The sequence below is a fragment of the Homo sapiens genome, chromosome 1 (genome assembly GCF_000001405.40).
Source record: "Homo sapiens chromosome 1, GRCh38.p14 Primary Assembly".
Lineage (NCBI taxonomy): Eukaryota > Metazoa > Chordata > Mammalia > Primates > Hominidae > Homo > Homo sapiens.
Window position 1 is genome coordinate 243,136,055 of NC_000001.11, and position 19,433 is coordinate 243,155,487.

At 36.3% G+C, this 19,433-nt stretch overlaps 1 protein-coding gene across 27 annotated transcripts in view; it reads right to left on the reverse strand.

Moving 5' to 3' along the window:
- CEP170 (centrosomal protein 170) overlaps positions 1 to 19,433 on the reverse strand; it is a 131,358-nt gene that overhangs the window by 11,627 nt on the left and 100,298 nt on the right. For 15 of the 27 annotated variants that reach the window (XM_047435483.1, XM_006711843.5, XM_017002951.3 and 12 more), the window contains 3 exons: positions 6,232 to 6,409; positions 3,883 to 4,053; positions 89 to 177 (listed from right to left, as the gene is read on the reverse strand). In XM_047435483.1, coding sequence (XP_047291439.1) covers positions 89 to 177; positions 3,883 to 4,053; positions 6,232 to 6,409 — 438 coding nt within the window. The remainder of the gene's footprint in view (positions 1 to 88; positions 178 to 3,882; positions 4,054 to 6,231; positions 6,410 to 19,433) is intronic. The other 12 variants (XM_017002949.3, XM_017002945.3, XM_017002942.3 and 9 more) reach the window with 2 other exon arrangements.

Genomic DNA, 19,433 nt, shown 5'->3' on the forward strand with positions numbered 1-19,433 from the left:
ATTCATTCTGATGATACATTTTTAACCTTGAGAAAAAGCAAAAAGCAAAGTGAGGTGATATTAAAGTTAAAGCTATATGTACATGTACCTGATCTTTCCAGCTGTCTTATCTATAGATTGTCTTATCTTCTTAGAGAACTGAAAGACGGATGACAGCAGCAGATTATCTCCCATGACCTGAAACAGCCAAAGAAAAAAGTAGATATTAAAATATTACCCCTGTATTGTATAACTACTGAGATCACTAGTCACAAGTCACTATAGTTAGGGGCAGTTAGTATTTATGCTTATTTTAATTATAAACCAGTGAAGAATATAATTAATATGTAACTAAAATGAGAAAGTGAAAGAAACACTATTAACAAAGGAGTTCTTATTATTAAATAACTTGTCAAAGTTTCCGTATTATTTTGGTCATATCAGTTTCCAAACACAATCCATTTTATCCTCAGTTTATCTTCAATTAATATTGTGATCCTGTCTCTCTTACTTCCAACTGAATTATAAAAGAGAAGATACAAATAACTTAGAGTACTAAATTTATTATTTATTCTTTCACCAAGTAATGTGAATACAGAAATCAAGAAGAGTACAATCCTTGTTCTCCAGCAAAGAGTCTAGTGGGAAAGATACATTTTGAAAAATTTACGCAAAATAGTAAGTTTTTATACTGGGTGTTGGTATTACTCCAGTTGAGATGCGTGGGCAAAACCAGGGGTCACCAATCTCTGTAAAGAGCCAGAGGGTGAAGGTTTTGGTCTTTGAGGGACACAGGGTCTAAGTAATGTGAATACAGAAATCAAGAAGAGTACAATCCTTGTTCTTCAGCAAAGAGTCTAGTGGGAAACACACATTTTGAAAAATTTACACAAAATAGTAAGTTTTTGTACTGAGTGTTGGTATTACCCCAGTTGAGATGCATGGGCAAAACCAGGGGTCACCAACCTCTGTAAAGAGCCAGAGGGTGAAGGTTTTAGTCTTTGAGGGACATAGGGTCTCTGCCACAATTCCTCAACTCTGCCTTTGCAGAGTGAAAGCAGCCATAAATAATGAGCAAATTATGCATGTGGACATAGCCGTGTTGTAACAAAACTTTTACAAAACAAGTGACAGGTTGGATTTGGCCTATGGGCTGAAGTTTGCCAAGCCCTAGGCCAAATCATGAAAGGCAAAGCTAACGAAGCATGGTAGAAAAAGGTCAAAACTTGAGTCTAGCTGTGGGTTTCAAAATGAACTCCTTATATTGTCAGTACTATATCCAGAGCCTGAAAGAAAACAGAAAATAAGGCCCTAGAAGGCAAAAAGGTTTAAAGACCACTGGGAGAGGTGACGGTAATATACAGGGAATACGATTACATGTTTTATCATAAAGCCTAAGGCCTACAAAACAAGAGACGTTCACATAAATTTTGGGACTCAGTGCTGCAAGAATTCTAATGAGGCCGGGCGCAGTGGCTCACGCCTGTAATCCCAGCACTTTGGGAGGCTGGGGTGGGTGGATCACGAGGTCAGGAGATCGAGACCATCCTGGCCAACATGGTGAAACCCCATCTCTACTAAAAATACAAAAATTAGCGGGGCGTGCTGGTGCGTGCCTGTAGTCCCAGCTACTCGGGAGGCTAAGGCAGGGGAATTGCTTGAACCTGGGAGGCAGAGGTTGCAGTGGGCGGAGATAGCACCACTGCCCTCCGGCCTGGTGACAAAGCGAGACTCCCTCTCAAAATTAAAAAAAAAAAAAAAAAAGAATTCTAATGAAAGAGAGTTCATTGATGAGTGGCATAAATAAGGAAGTGATCATGGAAAAACGTGAACTAACTTCAGAATGACAAGGATTTGAATTTAGTGGGTAATAAAAGTTTATTTAGGTTGTGAAAAATAACATTGTCAAGGAAAGGATAAATAAGCAAAATGGTTTTTGTGGGCCTTAAGAAAACAATCAAATAAGGATGGAAGACATATACAAATTAGGAAGGCATGAGAAAGGGCAGGAGAGTCTAAGGAAACATTGCAACACAGAATAGGATATTTCTCTTTTCTTTGCTCATGAAGTTTAGTTTGTTGTCACAAAGTATTAAATAAATTCCTGATATCAACCTTGAGATAACTATCAATCTAGATGTTTCCATTCTCTTTAAAAACATACACTTCTTCCACATAGTTTTTTATTATGTTTGGAGAAATTTGTCTTCCTAGACATCGGGACAGAATGATTATGAGTAAGTTTAGAGAATAGGCTCTTTTCCTGATACCAAGAACAAATCAACTATTAGGCCAGGACAGATCAAGTATGCTGTAAAACGTTTTAGTATACTTCAGTTGTAACTTTCGGGCTAGTTGCATACTTTTCTACCAGGTAGATCTTTTTCTACTCAGTACCATGAGAAACATACATATTCTTACATAATAATCTCAAGATCTTATTCCTAAATCCAGGGATCCACAGATATTAATCTATGATCAATCTCTTCTGGTCAACTGTTTCTTTCTACATTATTCCTCTACCCAGCCCTTAAGCCTATACCACCTCTGTGTGTTGTTCATAAATCACCTCTTTCCACAGTAGTATTTGAAATAACCATTCTTTTATGAAGAAACTCCTTTATATCTTTGAGTTTTTTATTACTCTATTATTGTTCAATTTGGGAATATACCAGTTTATACATTCACTTTTCAGCTGATGTAAACAGTTTCCAAGTTTTTGATACTGTCAACAATGTTACTATAAATGTAACTTCTACTGTCAATGGGAAAGGGTTTTTCTTGTACATATACTAGCAAGAAAATTGCTAGATCATGTGATGTCTTTATTTTCAACTTTAGGAGATAGTGTCAAACTGTTTTCCAGAGCTGCGGCACCAACTTAACCTCCACCAACCACACATAAGAAAGCCTATGTAGCTACCTTTCCTCCAATACTTAACATTTTAAGACTTTAACATGTCAACAATTGAATGATTATAATCTCACTGTAGTCTTGACATGCGTTTCTCTGAATGCTTGTTAAGTTAAACTTCTCTTCATGTTTTGTAGGCCTTAAGTATTTTCTTTTTCTTTTTTTTTTTTTGGAGACAGAGTCTCACTCTGTCACCCAGGCTGGAGTGCAGTGGTGTGGGTTCAGCTCACTGCAACCTCTGCCTCCCGGGTTCAAGTGATTCTCCTGCCTCAGCCTCCTGAGTAGCTGGGATTACAGGCACATGCCACCACGCCCGGCTAATTTTCTTATTTGTAGTAGAGACGGAGTTTCACCATGTTGGCCAGGCTGGTCTGAAACTCCTGACCTCAGGTGATCTGCCCGCCTCGGTATTTTCTCTTTGGTGAAATGTTGTTCACGTCTTTGCAGATTTTTCTATTGTGTTTTTTAATTGATTGGAGGGAGTTTTTTATATATACTGTATACTAATCCTTCATAGGCTGTATGTTTTGCAAAAGTTTGTAACTTGTATTTCTACCTTCTTTATTTTTTAATAAAGAAAAAGTCCTTAATTTTAATATACTCAAATGTCTCAATTTTCTAAGGCCAAAAGTTTGTGTTTCTCTTAAGAAATCACTCCCTAGTACAATATTGAAAGATATTTGTCTGTATTTTTTAAGTAAAAGTTTTACAGTTTTTCATGCATTAAGAACTAAATTCATTTAGAGAATGAATTTAAGAACTAAATTCATATTCATGAACTTAAATGAGAAAAAACAATTACAGTATTATTTTCGCTAACCTCTAAGTGACATAATTATTTGTATATGATGTGATGTCATGGTGAAATTTCATTGCATTCATTAAGGAGAATCACTTTTTCCCCAGCCCTACTCACTGAATGGTTCCTCCTTTTCTTACTTATGGAATATGCTGCTTCTGCCACATGTTAAAATTTATAGTTTACTTACTTCATCCCTGCTCCAGGTTCTCCGCCTTGTAATTGTTAAGTGATCGGGAGGCTCTGCTGCTTGAGGTCTTGGATCACCAGATCGACCGTTGTTTCCTTCTGGTGTTTTGGAATGAACTAATGGAGGAATCTTTCGGAAGTTGAGGCTTTCATCAAAAACACGATCAACCAACTAATGGGACGAAAGCAAACCTTTATGAGAACACAGTAATTTGAAAAAGTACCAATATTGGCATTACAATTTTTATGATTAGACAGAAGTTATTCCATTCTCAAGTAGTAACAGAGGCACAACATCTTCAATAAACCAATTACTCTTTCTTTTTATAAGCACTTCAAATGTATTTCCTTTATAAAATCGAGATTCATCTACACAGGTTTTATTTTCAAAATCCAAAATATATAACTATGTTAAATTTAATTCTTCCATGGATAAGATTTTCTCCAAATGGAAAACAGATGGTAAATAGAAAAAAAGCTGAGCCATGTAGATGGACAATGAGTTCATTTTACTCACATTGCCTTACCAGTGTAAAATAATGTTTCTTTTTCTTTTAGTTTCCTATCTTGTTTTTTCCTCCCCAAATCCAGGTGTCAAATTTCTTCACAAGATACATAAATTGCAAATTCCAATTAAGTTTACAAAAGGAAAATATTTTTTAATCCACAAAATAAATATTTTGATCTTAGTCAAATAAACTTTTAACAATGCTATAGAAGTTACACATTCTAATAGAAATGATATACTGCCATCTATAGTGCAAATCACAGACATACAATACTAAGTAACTCGGGTTTACTGAAGAGGGACTCAACCTAGTACAATATTCTGAAATAAAACAAAAAGAAAATAAAGTTTATTCAATGAAATGTTTAAGTAATTTTACTGGGTCTGAGTGAATGTATAATCATGTTAGGTAAAATTTAGTTAGAAAGCTGAGAAAATAATATCTTCAACATTTTAAATGTACCAGAAGAATTGTGTATGTCTTGCCACCAGGACGATCCTTAAGGTTTTCATCAATAAGGATGATTTCATTTACAGTTACATTTGATCAATGTGGTAACAAAACTCTACACAGATTGATGAAGTATCATTTATTAAGTTAAACAACACATTGAAGGAAAACAAACAAAAAAGTGACCATTAAAGAATCAGATTAAAGAATGTGACAAAAAGCAAATGAAGAAAATATTATTAGCACAGTTTACCACAATTAAATTTGTCAAAAAGGCTAGCCATTTTTGCCTACTATTTAGGATTATCTTGTAAAATTGAAGAAGCAGAATAATCAATACCAGGGGCTGGCAAACTTTTATTTATAAAGAGACAGATAATAAAACCTCAGGCTTTGCAGCCATACAATCTCTGTCTCAACTACTCAGTTCTGCCCCTGTAGCAAAGAAACAGCCATAGATGATAGTTAAATAAGTGTGGCTGTGTTCTAATAAAACTTTATTTATGAATACCAAAATTTGAATTTCATGTAATTTTCATGTTGCGAATTAGTATTCTTTAGATGTTTTTTCCTGCCATTCAAAAATGTAAAAACCATTCCTAGTTCTTTGGTCTGTATTAAAACTGGCAGCAAGGCCAGTTTGCCAACCTCCAAACACAGAAGTTCATTCTTTTAAATGCCAATCCTTTGCTTACATTTCTGCCCCAAATCAAAGCAGCCAACATGGCCAAAGAGTACCATTAATTTTGTATTACATGTTAAAGGTGCTGTCTGGAGCAATGTTATGCAAATGGTGCCTCCTGGAGTTATACTGTAAGAGGCCCTGATATTGGATGGGTAATAGTCTATACATGGTAACTTGCATTCCAGACTTTATGAAAATGTTCTGAATATGTATTTATATGTGTGTATATTACATATGTATTTCAATTTTTCAAAATATCTTTATGTGTATGTGTTTGTATTTATCAACAGAATTATTAAAGCAGTGAAACTGTAGGATTTTTCTCTTTGTTATCAGAGTATCTTCTAGTTAACTAGTGATAAAAATATTTTTAATTGGAGCATTTTCATAGTCAAACTTTATAGAAACTTTATACCATCATTTATCAAATTTTGGGTTGCTTTTCAAAATACCATTTATATTCATGTTTCAAGTGAAGCTATGGACCAAGAATTAGCAGGCAAAATGCTGTTTCTAAAGAATTTTCCAGCTTCGTGTTAATAGTAGACCAAATGTTAGCCTTCACTAGTTTTGTTACAAAAACATAAAATAAACTGTTAAAGCAAAGTTGGAAAATGCAGAGCTTCATGCAAACAGGGAGGGTGGACATAACTGAAATAAACTAAGCAAAAAGCTAAAAGCAAAAGAAATAAAGAAAAGAAAGAACCTTATGCATTTCTCCATGAAGATCTCCTACCTCTTCTCTAGTGTCTATGGCAGAGCCAGGGGTGGTGGCAGCAGTGCTTACTGTGGTACTAGGGGCAGTGCCTGATGAAGTCACTGAATCTATCTCTCCTGCTACATCGTTGATCTCCCGAGCAATGAGAGCAAGATCTTGGCTGATCCTGGTAATAATTTTAGAAAAGAAGTTTAATCCCTTTTAAATAAACAGCTCTAAAAACAATCATTTATGAGATAATCAGTCATGTAAGTTGTATATCTAATTAAATATTTGTACCCCAAATTAACTATTAACTATTTTGATAATCAGTCTTAAACCTTAATTCCAAAATTAAGATTAATGAAACTAAACTCCAAATAACCTACAAGATATCACCTTGAAAAATGTACTTTAAAAGCCCTTGAGTAGAGCTATGCCCTTAACACACACTGTGTTAATGACTAGCATTAATACATCACAGGGGTCTTAAACTTGGGGAATAATGGATAGAATTCAAGCAGTTCATGAACTTAAATGAGAAAAAACAATTACAATGTATTCACTAACCTCTAAGTGACGCTTAGCATTTCTTTCAATTATAAATACAGGCAACAAATCACAGTGGTATTAGCAATACTGGTGATTTTTGTCATCAATAGAGATCACATTACAGTTGCTACGGGTATATTTAAACATCATTTATGGTCATCACTGCTTCAAAACTACTGAAGTCATTAAACACACAATAATAACATTTTATTTAATGTTAATAAAGAACCATAAATTACTCTTACTTTCAAATATTTTGATAACTGAATTTCAATATAATTGGATTTCTTTGTAATTCTTTTATGTTTACACCTGAGAAGGGCCCTACAAGCTTCACAAAATGGGCAAAGGGGTCTACAGTACCAAGAAATTAAGAACCCTGCACTCTTTCGTAGAGCACTTTACACTATGCACAGCACTTTCTAGTACATGTTATGTCACTTGAGGCCCACAAAGTTCTTTTGAGGTAGGATTCATCTGACTTTATCACAATCTCAGAGAACCTGAATGGCTTGCTCATGATCACACCTTTAGATGTAGCTAAGGCAGGACTGGATCCAAGCTTTAGTACTCATTTCCATAAAGCCATTTGCATTTTTACCTACATGGACTGAAGAACTAAATAACTGTTACCTGTGATAATCAAAGGTGAAAATAGAGATTTTTCTTTTAGAGTTTTTTTTAAGAGGGACAAACTTACAAAACCTACCACTGATATTCTTGTTTTTTGAGAAACATTTCATTTCAATAAGACATTAACGTTTTCCAAGCTGCATCTACTGCCCATAAACTCGATGTGGCTATTTCCACAGGGAAGGTTTTGGAATGACAGAATATTATTAAAAGTATATATGAAAGTTTCTGCAACTTCAAAATCCAAAGGAAATACAAAGTAACTTAAAAAGAAAAAAAAAAAAAAGAGCCTAGGAGGTCTGGTTATATTGCCCAGGCTGGTCTCGAACTCCTGAGTTCAAGCAATCCTCCGACTCAGCCTCCCAAATAGCTAAGATTACAGACACATGCCTGGCTTAAAGTAACATTTTTTAAACTTATGCAAAATGTGAGTTTGAAAGACTTTCAAGCACATTAGTAATTACATAAAAATTTAGATTTAAAAAGGGAACTAAGTTGAAGTTTATGGACCAACAGAACCAATTTATGGTCAATATATAAACTTTGTAAAAACGTCAGTTAATTCCTCATTTATTTATCAACACAAAGAGGCAGGAAAAACACCAACAAATATTTACTGATTGCTTATGATGTGCCAGGCACTGTGCTAAGTCCTAAAGACTACAGCAATGAAGAAGCAGACAGGGTCCTTGTCCCCATGAAGCTTAGAATACACAGAAGGCACCATTATAATATGATGAGTACATTATAAAGCAGCTTCATAGTCCTCAACTCATTTAATTCCCACAACCACTCTGTAAGAGAAGTATTAATCATCTTGTTCTACAGATGAGGAAAATGAGGCACAGGAGAAGACATGCGACCATTTTTTTGGCCAAGGTCACACATAGTTAAGTGCCATAACTAGATCTTTTCACTATGTCATGCTACATCTCACATGATTGCTCCATATATAATTTTTTAAAACATATTAACTGTTGATGTGATTCTTTTGAAATGTGTTTAAAGTGTTCCCTTATATAATATAGCAAATCCTTGCAATTCCCCAAAATAAATGAACTAGAATAAGAAACAGAATAACCAAGCTTAATGAGATAAAATACAGATAAGCATCATTGTATCCAAAACTCTATTTTTCATTAAGGATTTTTTATGCAGACGATCTGTACAATGAAGTTTCTAATATTTGTGGAAAACAGTATAAATTAATTAGAAAAAACATGGACAACAGCAATCTCCACATGTGATATAGTAAAATATGTATTAAAATGAGCAATTCTTAACGTATATACAACATATATTGTTGATTTGAAAACCTAATAGATATTTTCACATTTAATTCCATTTTATTACAAAATATGGATAAGAAAATAGTGCTGAAGGAACAAAACAGAAGGGTTCAGTTCTCTAGCATTAGTCCTAGTCTTTATGTTTTCCCAAGTGTCAGAACCACTGACTCAATTTCAACAATTCTGTAGAAATAAGTATGCATTACTTAAGAAAAAATGGTGAGATAACATGAGAAATGTACTTTAAGTCATAAAGTTTATAATTTTCCTATGTAAATTATCTCAGTCATAACACTTTTTTTTCACTGAAGGGTTGTATACTGGAAAAAATAATTGTACATTTGGGTATATTGGAAGATTAAAGGATATATTAAAAATTAGAGTTCTAGTTATGTGTATACCCAATTAAACACACAATCTTTGCAAGATTATATATTATTACAACTATAGTAGAAACAAACTATCAGACTTCATTGATTTAAACTGCCAACAAAACATTGTTTTAAATTAGCTATTTAAAAATTTGCCTTATTATTATTTTTTGAGGTGGACTCTCACTCTGTTGCCAGGTTGGAGTGCAGTGGTGCAATCTCAGCTCACTGCAACCTCTGCCTCCTGGATTCAAGTGATTCTCCTGCCTCAGACTACCGAGTAGCCAGGATTACAGGCGTGCACCACCACGCCCGGCTAATTTTGGTATTTTTAGTAGCAATGAGGTTTCACCATGTTGGCCAGGATGGTCTCGATCTCTTGACCTTGTGATCCGCCCGCCTTGGTCTCCCAAAGAGCTGGGATTACAGGCGTGAGCCACTACGCCCAGCCAAAAATTTGCCCTATTTTTTGATAGCACATTCATTTTCAAACGTTTTTACATGTAAAACTTTCCAGAGGATACACACATGAACCTCTGGAATTAAGTTTCCTTTGATATTACTGGAAAAAAGCAACTGGTGGGCTATTAATGAAGTATACTAGCTTTAGAATCCTAAAACCAAAGCTTATGACCGCAAGTCAAACCTCCTGTTACTTTAACATGGGCTAAGAGATCATAACTGTAATGACTCAGCTTTCAAGAAATAATTTAGTCTAGTTTGTAAATGACCAGAAGTGTTAAAATGTAAAATGAGTTTAAGGAGAGACATTTAAGGGTCATTCCAGAAAAGCTCATGGTTTCCACACTATCTAGAAGAGTTTAGTAAGCAAAAAAAGTTTTGTAAGAGGAAAGAGGGGATATCAAATGAAAGGTACTCAGGAAAACTGGAAAAAGAAAATATAAGGAAAAAAAAGTCTAACGTCAATTATTCTAAGTGAAGTAATTCAGGAATGGAAAATCAAACACCACATGTTCTCACTTGTAAGTGGGAGCTAAGCTGTGAGGATGTAAAGGTGTAAGAATGATATGAATTAGCTTTTAATCCTTGTATAAATTATGAACTCGTTTGGAACACAGGCTCTGTGTTTTAGGTTTATTTGCCTCCCCAATGGTGACAAATATGGTCAGCGATTCATAAAAAAGTATGATTTATAATAGGATGCACCAGGGAGACTTTTAATCTGAACAGAGGTCACGGGAATGAGATTCGCGAAGAACGCAGAAGAGATTAGCGACCCCTCTCCTTCCCAATTCCTTCTAATGGTATAAAAGCCAGTCAGCCAAATAATGAAGAGCCATATTATTTTTAAAGAGTCAAGGATCCTGTATCAGGCCCCAAAATTTCAAAGGCAGGTATAAAGTAAAAATTCATAAGCATGTGGCTAAAAAATGTTTTTTATTTCCATGGGTAAAAACAAATTTTGTTTCATTAAGTATTTGGTTTAGCTTGTATTTTTCCTTCTAAGTGATTACTCACTCATGCTCTCCCCTGCACCTCAAATAGAACAAGTATAGTGGTTCAAGGTTTACAAGGCATGGGAAGAAAAAAAAAAAAAAACCCGAGATATTAGCAAATTAACTTCACTTCATTTAAAATTCTCATTGCTTATACAATGCAGGAAAAAGTACACTTGTAAGAGACCCTATACTAGCACACAGAGGCGGTAAGAAGTCAAGTTAAAAAGTACACGAATGCAGGCACCAACGGGACTTATATAACAGCACATGTAAGGTTTTTACTTTGTGCATGAGCAAAAAGTTCTAGATGTTCCCTAACCAGTGAAGACCAATTGTGAATCCCCCCTAACCAGTAAAGACCAATTGTGAATCCCCCCTAACCAGTAAAGACCAATTGTGAATCCCCCATCTAGAGGCACTCCAGATGGAATGCTCAGTATCATTGGCTACGAAGCATGAATGCTTAGCAAAGTCAAATACATACTTGGAAATGCTATCTCCAAATAAAAGACAGTATTCTTATTACTACACTGCCTACAAATAAAAATACAGTATTTTTATTAGTATATAAAAAAGTACCCAGATGTGGCTTTAATGTGATAAGGCTATAATTTTAAAAAATGTACATGCCTTGTAAATACTTGTAACTACATTTTCCCCTGAAGCCTTTTCCTGGTTTTGGCCCATTATTCAAGATTATTTTTCTCAGCTGTTAAAAGCAATGAACATAACCACATTTATGCTATTCTGCCACTTAACTGGATATCTTCTTTCTTTTTTATTAGACAGCACATAATTTTAATACAGCCTTTGGCTTGTTGTGAAGCCACATCTCATCTTCAGTTCTTCTTGACATGCCTTTCATACAGATGTGTTACCACTGTAAACAGCTCAAGCAGATCTTAAGAAATTCACTTAAGGTTTCCTAGAAATGTGATTCACATGAGTTCTGTATCTTAAACCATGACTTTCAAAATGAGGTAAAATATTGTATAATGAAATCAACATATGCAGGTGTGAATATAAACAAGCAATACTGACTTCCATATATGGATCCTTGAAATGTTTCATTACTGGATGACTGTATCTTATACAGTGAATAATGCTATTATGATAAAACAGAAATACAATTTCTCACATCCTAATTTTTTTCCCAAAAAAATTAACTGTAGCTAGGTAAAAATGGGGCTAAGACAAGGAACTTCTACGTAAAAATTTTTAGAGTTTGACTTAAAAATTTTCAATTTGGAATCTTAAGCATTTAAACTATTCAGGGCCTACTGATAACGAGCTAGGTATCTTTTAAAAAACAAAAGAGGCTGGGCACAGTGGCTCACGCCTGTAATCTCAGCACTTTGGGAGGCTGAGGCAGGTGGATCACTTGAGGTCAGGAGTTCAAGAATAGTCTGGCCAACATGGTGAAACCCTGTCTCTACTTTTACAAAAAATTAGCCAGGCATGGTGGCATGCGCCTGTAGTCCCAGCTACTCGGGAGGCTGAGGCAGGAGAATCCTTTGAACTTGGGAGGTGGAGGTTGCAGTGAGCCGAGATCATGCCACTATACTCCAGCCTGGGCAACAGAATGTGAGACTCTGTCTCAAAAAAAATCCAACAAAACAACAACAACAAAAAACAAAGGAGACATAGACAAATTTGGGAAGACTCTAGGCATCATTTATTCAACAAAATTTATTTGGTATCAGTATCAGCTGGGCGCGGTGGCTCATGCCTGTAATCCTAGCACTTTGGGAGGCCGAGGTGGGCGGATCACCTGAGCTCAGGAGTTTGAGACCAGCCTGGCCAACATGGTGAAACCCCATCTCTACTAAAAATACAAAAAAAATTAGCAAGGCATGGTGGTGTACACCCGTAATCCCAGCTACTCAGGACGCTGAGGCACAAGAATTGCTTGAACCTGGGAGGCAGAGGTTGCAGTGAGCTGAGATCGCGCCACTACACTTCAGCCTGGGTGACAGTGAGACTCTGTCTCAAAATAAAATAACATAATTTTAAAAATTTATTTAGTATTTACAAAGCAATAGTTATGAATGATTCCATGATCTCACAGTACAATAAAGAATAAGAAGTCCAGGCAAGAGGCTCAAAGTTTAATTCATGTATTGATTAACTCATATATTTGACTTACATACCAACTATAAAGAAGGTTCACAAAAAAAAGTTTCCTAATGATAAGGAAAGATCTTTCTCTTCCATCAGTGGAAACTGTCAGTTAATTTGTTAGATGTTAGTGGCATTTTGATTCAATAATAGAAGACCTTAATGAAAAAAATTTGGCAAACCCCATTCTTTATGCAACAAAAGTATGGAGAACTGGGAAAGAGTTACACTGAGCCACAAAAGATTTAGGATGGGATAATAATGAGTTGAAATTGGAGGTTTCTTTTGGGCAGCAAGAGCAATTTAATGAGTGGCCTGATTAGAAAAGCAGTTTGAATAAAGTACATGGAGTCTACTTCTAGCCATCAAAAGAGATAGAGATTTAATTTTTTTAAAGGCACCTCCCATTATTGTGAATGAAATGTTTATCGCTACAGATAAGTTACATTTGGTAAAATGTAGAAAGATTCTAGTCTCGAAACTAGACTGATGAATATGCTTCAGATAAGCAGAGGCAGTCACAAATAAAGATGTAATTAAGAGGATAACTTTAAAGGTTTTAGCAAACCTATGCTATCTCCACCAGAGACAAAATCGGCAGGTTAAAAGAAGATGGTCTGACGCCATCTGACAGCAAAGTATTTACTCAATAAACAAGACCTGAGATAGCCAGAGTATTTTTAGAGACTTAGGTACAGACTATGAGGAAGGAATAATGAAGTTCTAGGAAATGTGGAAAACTACAGAGAAACTGAAGAATCACTGTCATCTGAACCTGTGGGCAGGTGGTTTATTTCCCTACTCTTGCTGTTTGGATCTGACCTAGCCCAACAAAATAACAGGGCCTAGACTTGAGATATTATCAATCCACAAATGATGTCTTCAAACTGACTTGGCAGATATGCCTTATTGCTTGATTAGGGTAGTTTTTATATCCATAATATTTTCTCCAAAACAAAAAACATTTTGGTATTATCAAAGCTCACCTCCAATTACAACCCAAAATGTAGTATATCCTTCAATTATATTATAATTGAAGACTTGTTAGCTGAATTGCAATACACAGAAAAGCATTATATTACCTTACAGACAATAAGAAAACCCACACCATTGAATTCTGACAACTAAATTAAATTGGTTCCTACCAACAAAACAATAAAAGCACAAAGCTTTTAATAATGTAGTAAAATTACAAGTAATTTGGTTTTTTACTGTTAAGATTATCACTCATTCATAACTTTAACTGTACATATTTTAGGCTTTGAAAAACATAAACCACAGTTCTATTTTAAAATGTTTTCAAATATATTTGATCAGTATTCTTTTTACTTGAATTTCACTAATAAAATTATGTGTAAAAGACTTAGTAATAATAAAAGCTTTTTGTCTTACAATGCCAAGTGAGTTTCATTTGGGGCCAACAAATCAGGGAACGAGACTGATAGGTGTTCCGTGATACATCTATTTTTTAGACAGAATCTCGCTCTGTCACCCTGGCTGGAGTGCAGTGGCGTGATCTCGGCTCACTGCAACCTCCGCTTCCCAAGTTTCAACGATTCTCCTGCCTCAGCCACCCGAGTAGCTGGGATTACAGGTGCATGCCATCACACCCGGCTAATTTTTGTATTTTTAGTAGAGATGGGGTTTCACCATGTTGCCCAGGCTGGTCTCCAACTCCTGACCTCAGGTGATCCGCCTGCCTTGGCCTCCCAAGTGCTGGGATTACAGGCGTGAGCCACCCCGCCCAGCTGACACAGCTATTTAACGATCACTTTAATATTAAAAAACAAACTACTTATATACCACTGTTTTTACTAGGAGGACAAAAAATTTTTTAATAAATAAGTTTGGACGGAAATTTGAACAAAGCATTGGCTGGGATTCTTAAGCACAAATAAGGTAAGCCCAGCATTTTATAAACTGTAGAATGTAATGCTGATTCTGAAATTCCAATTATATCTGGATTCTCATAAATTTAAACGTGTGAGATCTACACAAAATTAAAAGCTCCAAATAAAGTTCTAACTATAATCATAAACCACGGTTTTCTCTGTATCCCTCTTAAATATAACATTTATTGACTACTGACTATATGTCAAGCACTAGGTTAAGTATGTGCATCAACTTGTCGACTCTCTCAGGTTGGCACCATTACGTCCATTTTACCGATGAGATCACTAGAACACATTTAATTAACTCATCCTAGGTCACACAGACCTTGTGGTCGAGTTGGGTTTGAATCTCAGACCAAGAATATGGTCTGAGTCCAGAGTCCATATTCTTCACCATTCAGCTACACCACATCCCTGTCACTGAGGTTATCTCAGAGTTCAGCCGCATTTGCAGCTCCCTCACCATTCCGTGGTGATACCATCTACTACAATAGCTCCAAGTATTTACTCTTTACGAATGACTACAACGATGAGTCTAGCCCTCACGGCTTCCTGTTTCACAGCCGCAGTTCAACTGTCTGCTAGCTTTTTTCACAGGGCTATCCTTTAGGCATGTTGGTGTCAGTATGACCAAAATACAACCTATCTTCTTTTCCCATGCCTTTTGTGTTCCCTACTCCCACTAATCTCCCATCTGATCAACCATGGAACCATTTTAAATTCTGTCTTACTATTCTGGCAATCATCAAAAGCTAGGCCTCTTGTGCCATACAGCCAAGTTGTGAATGCAAAGGAAAAGTTCTTGAAGTAAATTAAAAGTGCTACTCTAGTGAACACAGGAATGATAAGAAAGCAAAACAGCCTAATGCTGATATGGACAAGGTCTGAGTGGTCTGGATAGAAGATCAAACCAGCCACAACATTCCCTTAAGCCAAACTAATCCAGAGCAAAATCTGAACTCTCTTCAATTCTGTGAATGCTGACAGAGGTGAGGAAACTGCAGAAGAAAAGTTTGCAGAGGTTGGTTCATGAGGCTTAAGGAACGAAACCATCCCCCTAACATGAAAGTGCACAGAGAAGCAGCAAGTGCTGATATAGAAGCTGTAGCAACTTATCCAGAAGATCTAGCTAAGATAATTGATTAAGATGGTTATAATAACAACTGATTTTCAATGTTGATAAAACAGCCTTCTATTGGAAGAAGATGCCATCTAGGACTTTCAGAGCCAGAGAGAAGGCAATGCCCAGCTTCAAAGCTTCAAAGGACAGGCTGACTCTCTTGTTAGGGGTTAATGTAGCTGGTGACTTTATGTTGGAAGCCAATGCTCATTTTCCATTCCAAAAGTCATAGGGCCCTTAAGAATTATGCTAAATCTACTCTGCTTGTGCTCTACAAATGGAACAATAAAGCCTGGATTATGGCATATTTACAGTGTGGTTTACTAAATATTTTAAGACCACTGTAGAGACATACTGCTCAGAAAAAAATGATTATTTGCAAAATATTACTGCTCATGGACAATGTACCTGGTTACCTAAGAGCTCTGATGGAGATGTACACGGTGATTAATGTTGCTTTCATACCTGCTAACATCCATTCTGCAGCCCATGGATCAAGGAGCCATTTTGATTTTTTTTTTTTTTTTTGAGACGGAGTCTCGCTCTGTCGCCCAGGCTGGAGTGCAGTGGCGCCATCTCGGGTCACTGCAAGCTCCGCCTCCTGGGTTCACGCCATTCTCTTGCCTCAGCCTCCAGGGTAGCTGAGACTACAGGCGCCCGCCACCACGCCCGGCTAATTTTTTGTATTTTTAGTAGAGATGGGGTTTCACCATGTTAGCCAAGATCGTCTCAATCTCCTGACCTCGTGATCCACCCGCCTCAACCTCCCAAAGTGCTGGGATTCCAGGCGTGAGCCACCGCGCCCAGCCATTTTTTTTTTTTTTTTTTTTTTTTTTTTGAGATAGAGTCTCGCTCTGTCACCCAGGCTGGAGTGCAGCGGCACAATCTCGGCTCACTGCAACCTCTGCCTCCCGGATTCAAACAATTCTCCTGCCTCAGCCTCCCGAGTAGCTGGGACTACAGGCACGTACCACCATGCCCAGCTAATTTTTTCTATTTCTAGTAGAGACGGGGTTTCACCGTGTTAGCCAGGATGGTCTCTATCTCCTGACCTCGTGATCTGCCTGCCTCGGCCTCCCAAAGTGCTGGGATTACAGGCGTGAACCACCGTGCCTGGCCCGTTTTGTCTTCTAAGCAGAAAATGTATTCCTTTATTTAAGAAATAACATTTTGCAAGACATAGCTGTCATAGGTAATGATTCCTCTAATAGATCTGGACAAAGTAAACTGAAAATCTTTTGGAAAGGATTCACCATTCTACATGCCATTAAGGACTTCTGTGATTCATGGAGGAGGTAAAAATATCAAGATTAACCGGAGTTTGGAAGAAACTGATTCCAACCCTCATGGATGACTTTGAGGGTTCAAGACTTCAGTGGAGGAAGTCACTGCAGATATGGTGGAAACAGAAACAGAACTAGAAAGACTAGAGTTAGAAGTGAAGCCTGAATATGGGACTGGATTGCTGCAATCTCGTGATAAAACATTAACAGATGAGAAGTTGCTTCTTATGGATGGGAAAAGAAAGTGGTATCTTGCAATAGAATCTACTGGTGAAGCTGTTGTGAGCACTGTTGAGATGACAACAAAGGATTCAGAATATTACATAAACTCAGTCGATAAGCCAGCGGCAGGGTCTGGGAGGACTGACTGCAGTTTTGAAAGAAGTTCTACTCTGGGTAAAATGCTATCAAACAGCATCACATTGCTACAAGGAAATCTTTCATGAAAGGAAGAGTCAATCAACGTGGCAGACTTCACTGTTGTCTTCTTTTAATTAAGAAATCGCCACAGTCATCCCAGCCTTCAGCAACCACTGCCCTTGAATAAGTCCACAGTCATCAGCAGGGATGTAAGACCCTATGCCAACAAAAAGCTGATGACTTACTGAAGGCTCAGATGATCACTACTGTTTTTTACTAATAAAATATTTACTTGTTTAGGTATATACTTTTTTTAAGAAGCAGTGTTACTGCACACAGTATAGTGTGAACATAATTTTTACATGCACTAGGAAAAAAAAACTGTGTGACTTGCTTTGAGATATTTGCCTTACTATAGCGGTCTGAAACCAAACCTGTACTATCTTCGAGGTGTTACTGTAGATAATCTTCCAGTATAATTTTTAGGTTGAATGTATTTCATTTGGTTATCTGTAAAGCTGGTATTGTAGCTCTGTTTACCCTAATATTCATAAAAACCTGCATCATGTCTTACATTCCTACTCGATGGAAGTCAATATCTGTTTTCATAACAGAGAAACTGAGGCAGGAGCTACCAAAGCATATGCATCAGGGATACCTGAAAGAAACCTTCCCTCATCAAACTGAAGACCAAATATGCCATATCTCGCTTATACACTTCATATTCTAAATGGAGCTTGCTTTTGTGCTTTAAATTTAAATGCAGGTAAACAGTTACTATGTACAGATTAACAAAGTGCTGATCAAGTGAAATAGTCCTAAATTCTAAACAGAAAGAGTATGCTAAAGCATAAAACATTTTTGTAATAAATTAAAAATCACTATTATCTTTTTCAAATAAAAGTGTCTTTATCTATTACTCTTCAAATATTGCTCTCAGCACAGGAGTCTTTTAGGTGACAGTAGTTCATTTAAATAAATAAAATTATTTCTCATATTCTACTTAGTTTGTGATTCATAGCCATTTGAAAATACATTTTCTCACCCTAAGCAAACTTATCACTGCTCTATAGAAACATTAAATATCCACATTTCCTTCCATATTTTGTATCTTTCCTTCCTTCCACCACCCTCCTTTTTTCTCCACATAAAACAAACAAAAAAACCACTTCTCTGGCTTTGAGATATATAGCTAGAAAGTATAACTTGAAAAATTAAAATCCCAAAGGCAAGTTTTATTAGCATAGTGCTACTGACAAACTAGAGGGATAAGGCATGAACATCACTGTAGGTTAAATAGCCTGTTCTTAAAGTCCTGCCATAGATAATAAAAAGTACACATTGATAATAGTAACACTATGCACATAGCAAAATGGAACCAAGTGAAAATACAGTGTATAGCCCTTATTCCCTCTTCTCTTTGTATTACAACTGTTTTTTTATTTGGGGGTAGGGAAGTGTATTTGGCTCAGAAGAAGGTTTTTAGTCTTTCTAGTTTGGGGTAGAGGGAGCTTGAGAGAGGAGGCCTCCTGCCAGGAGGCATCTAGACATACAGGCACCACTGGATCTTGTGTAGCTGGACATCTTTTTCAAGGGAAGGGGAAAAATGATGAGACAAGAGTAAGACCTGTTGTTGCTAGCAGCGCCTGGAAGTACAAAAAAATGTGTCAAGATGCTCTCACTACAAGCATTTTGTTGGCCCATAATGATCCATGGATCCCAAAGTACATATATGCCTTTCCTCTAACTAGAACAACTGGCTTAAAATGCTTCATTAATTACTCTCCTAAAAAGCTATTTGTATGATAAAGCAAAAATGTTTTAAGCAGCACGATGAGATTAGAAAGGCATGTTCTCTCCAAGAATAAAAGCGATGACAAGTGAATAGTCTTTAAAAATAAAAAACTAAACATTACATCAAACCAATGAGCCAGAAAAAACACAATTCACAGAAGTCAATGAAATAAAGAACAAAAAAGATGAACATTAACATAGAGTAAAAGTTTCTTGTTTTTTAAAAGCATCTATGAAATATTATGTATAAACTCTTTAATAATGTCCTCAAGTATACAACTTGAAGATTAAGGTCTTAAAGACAGAAGTAAGCTTAGTATGTATACAGTGAAAATGTTT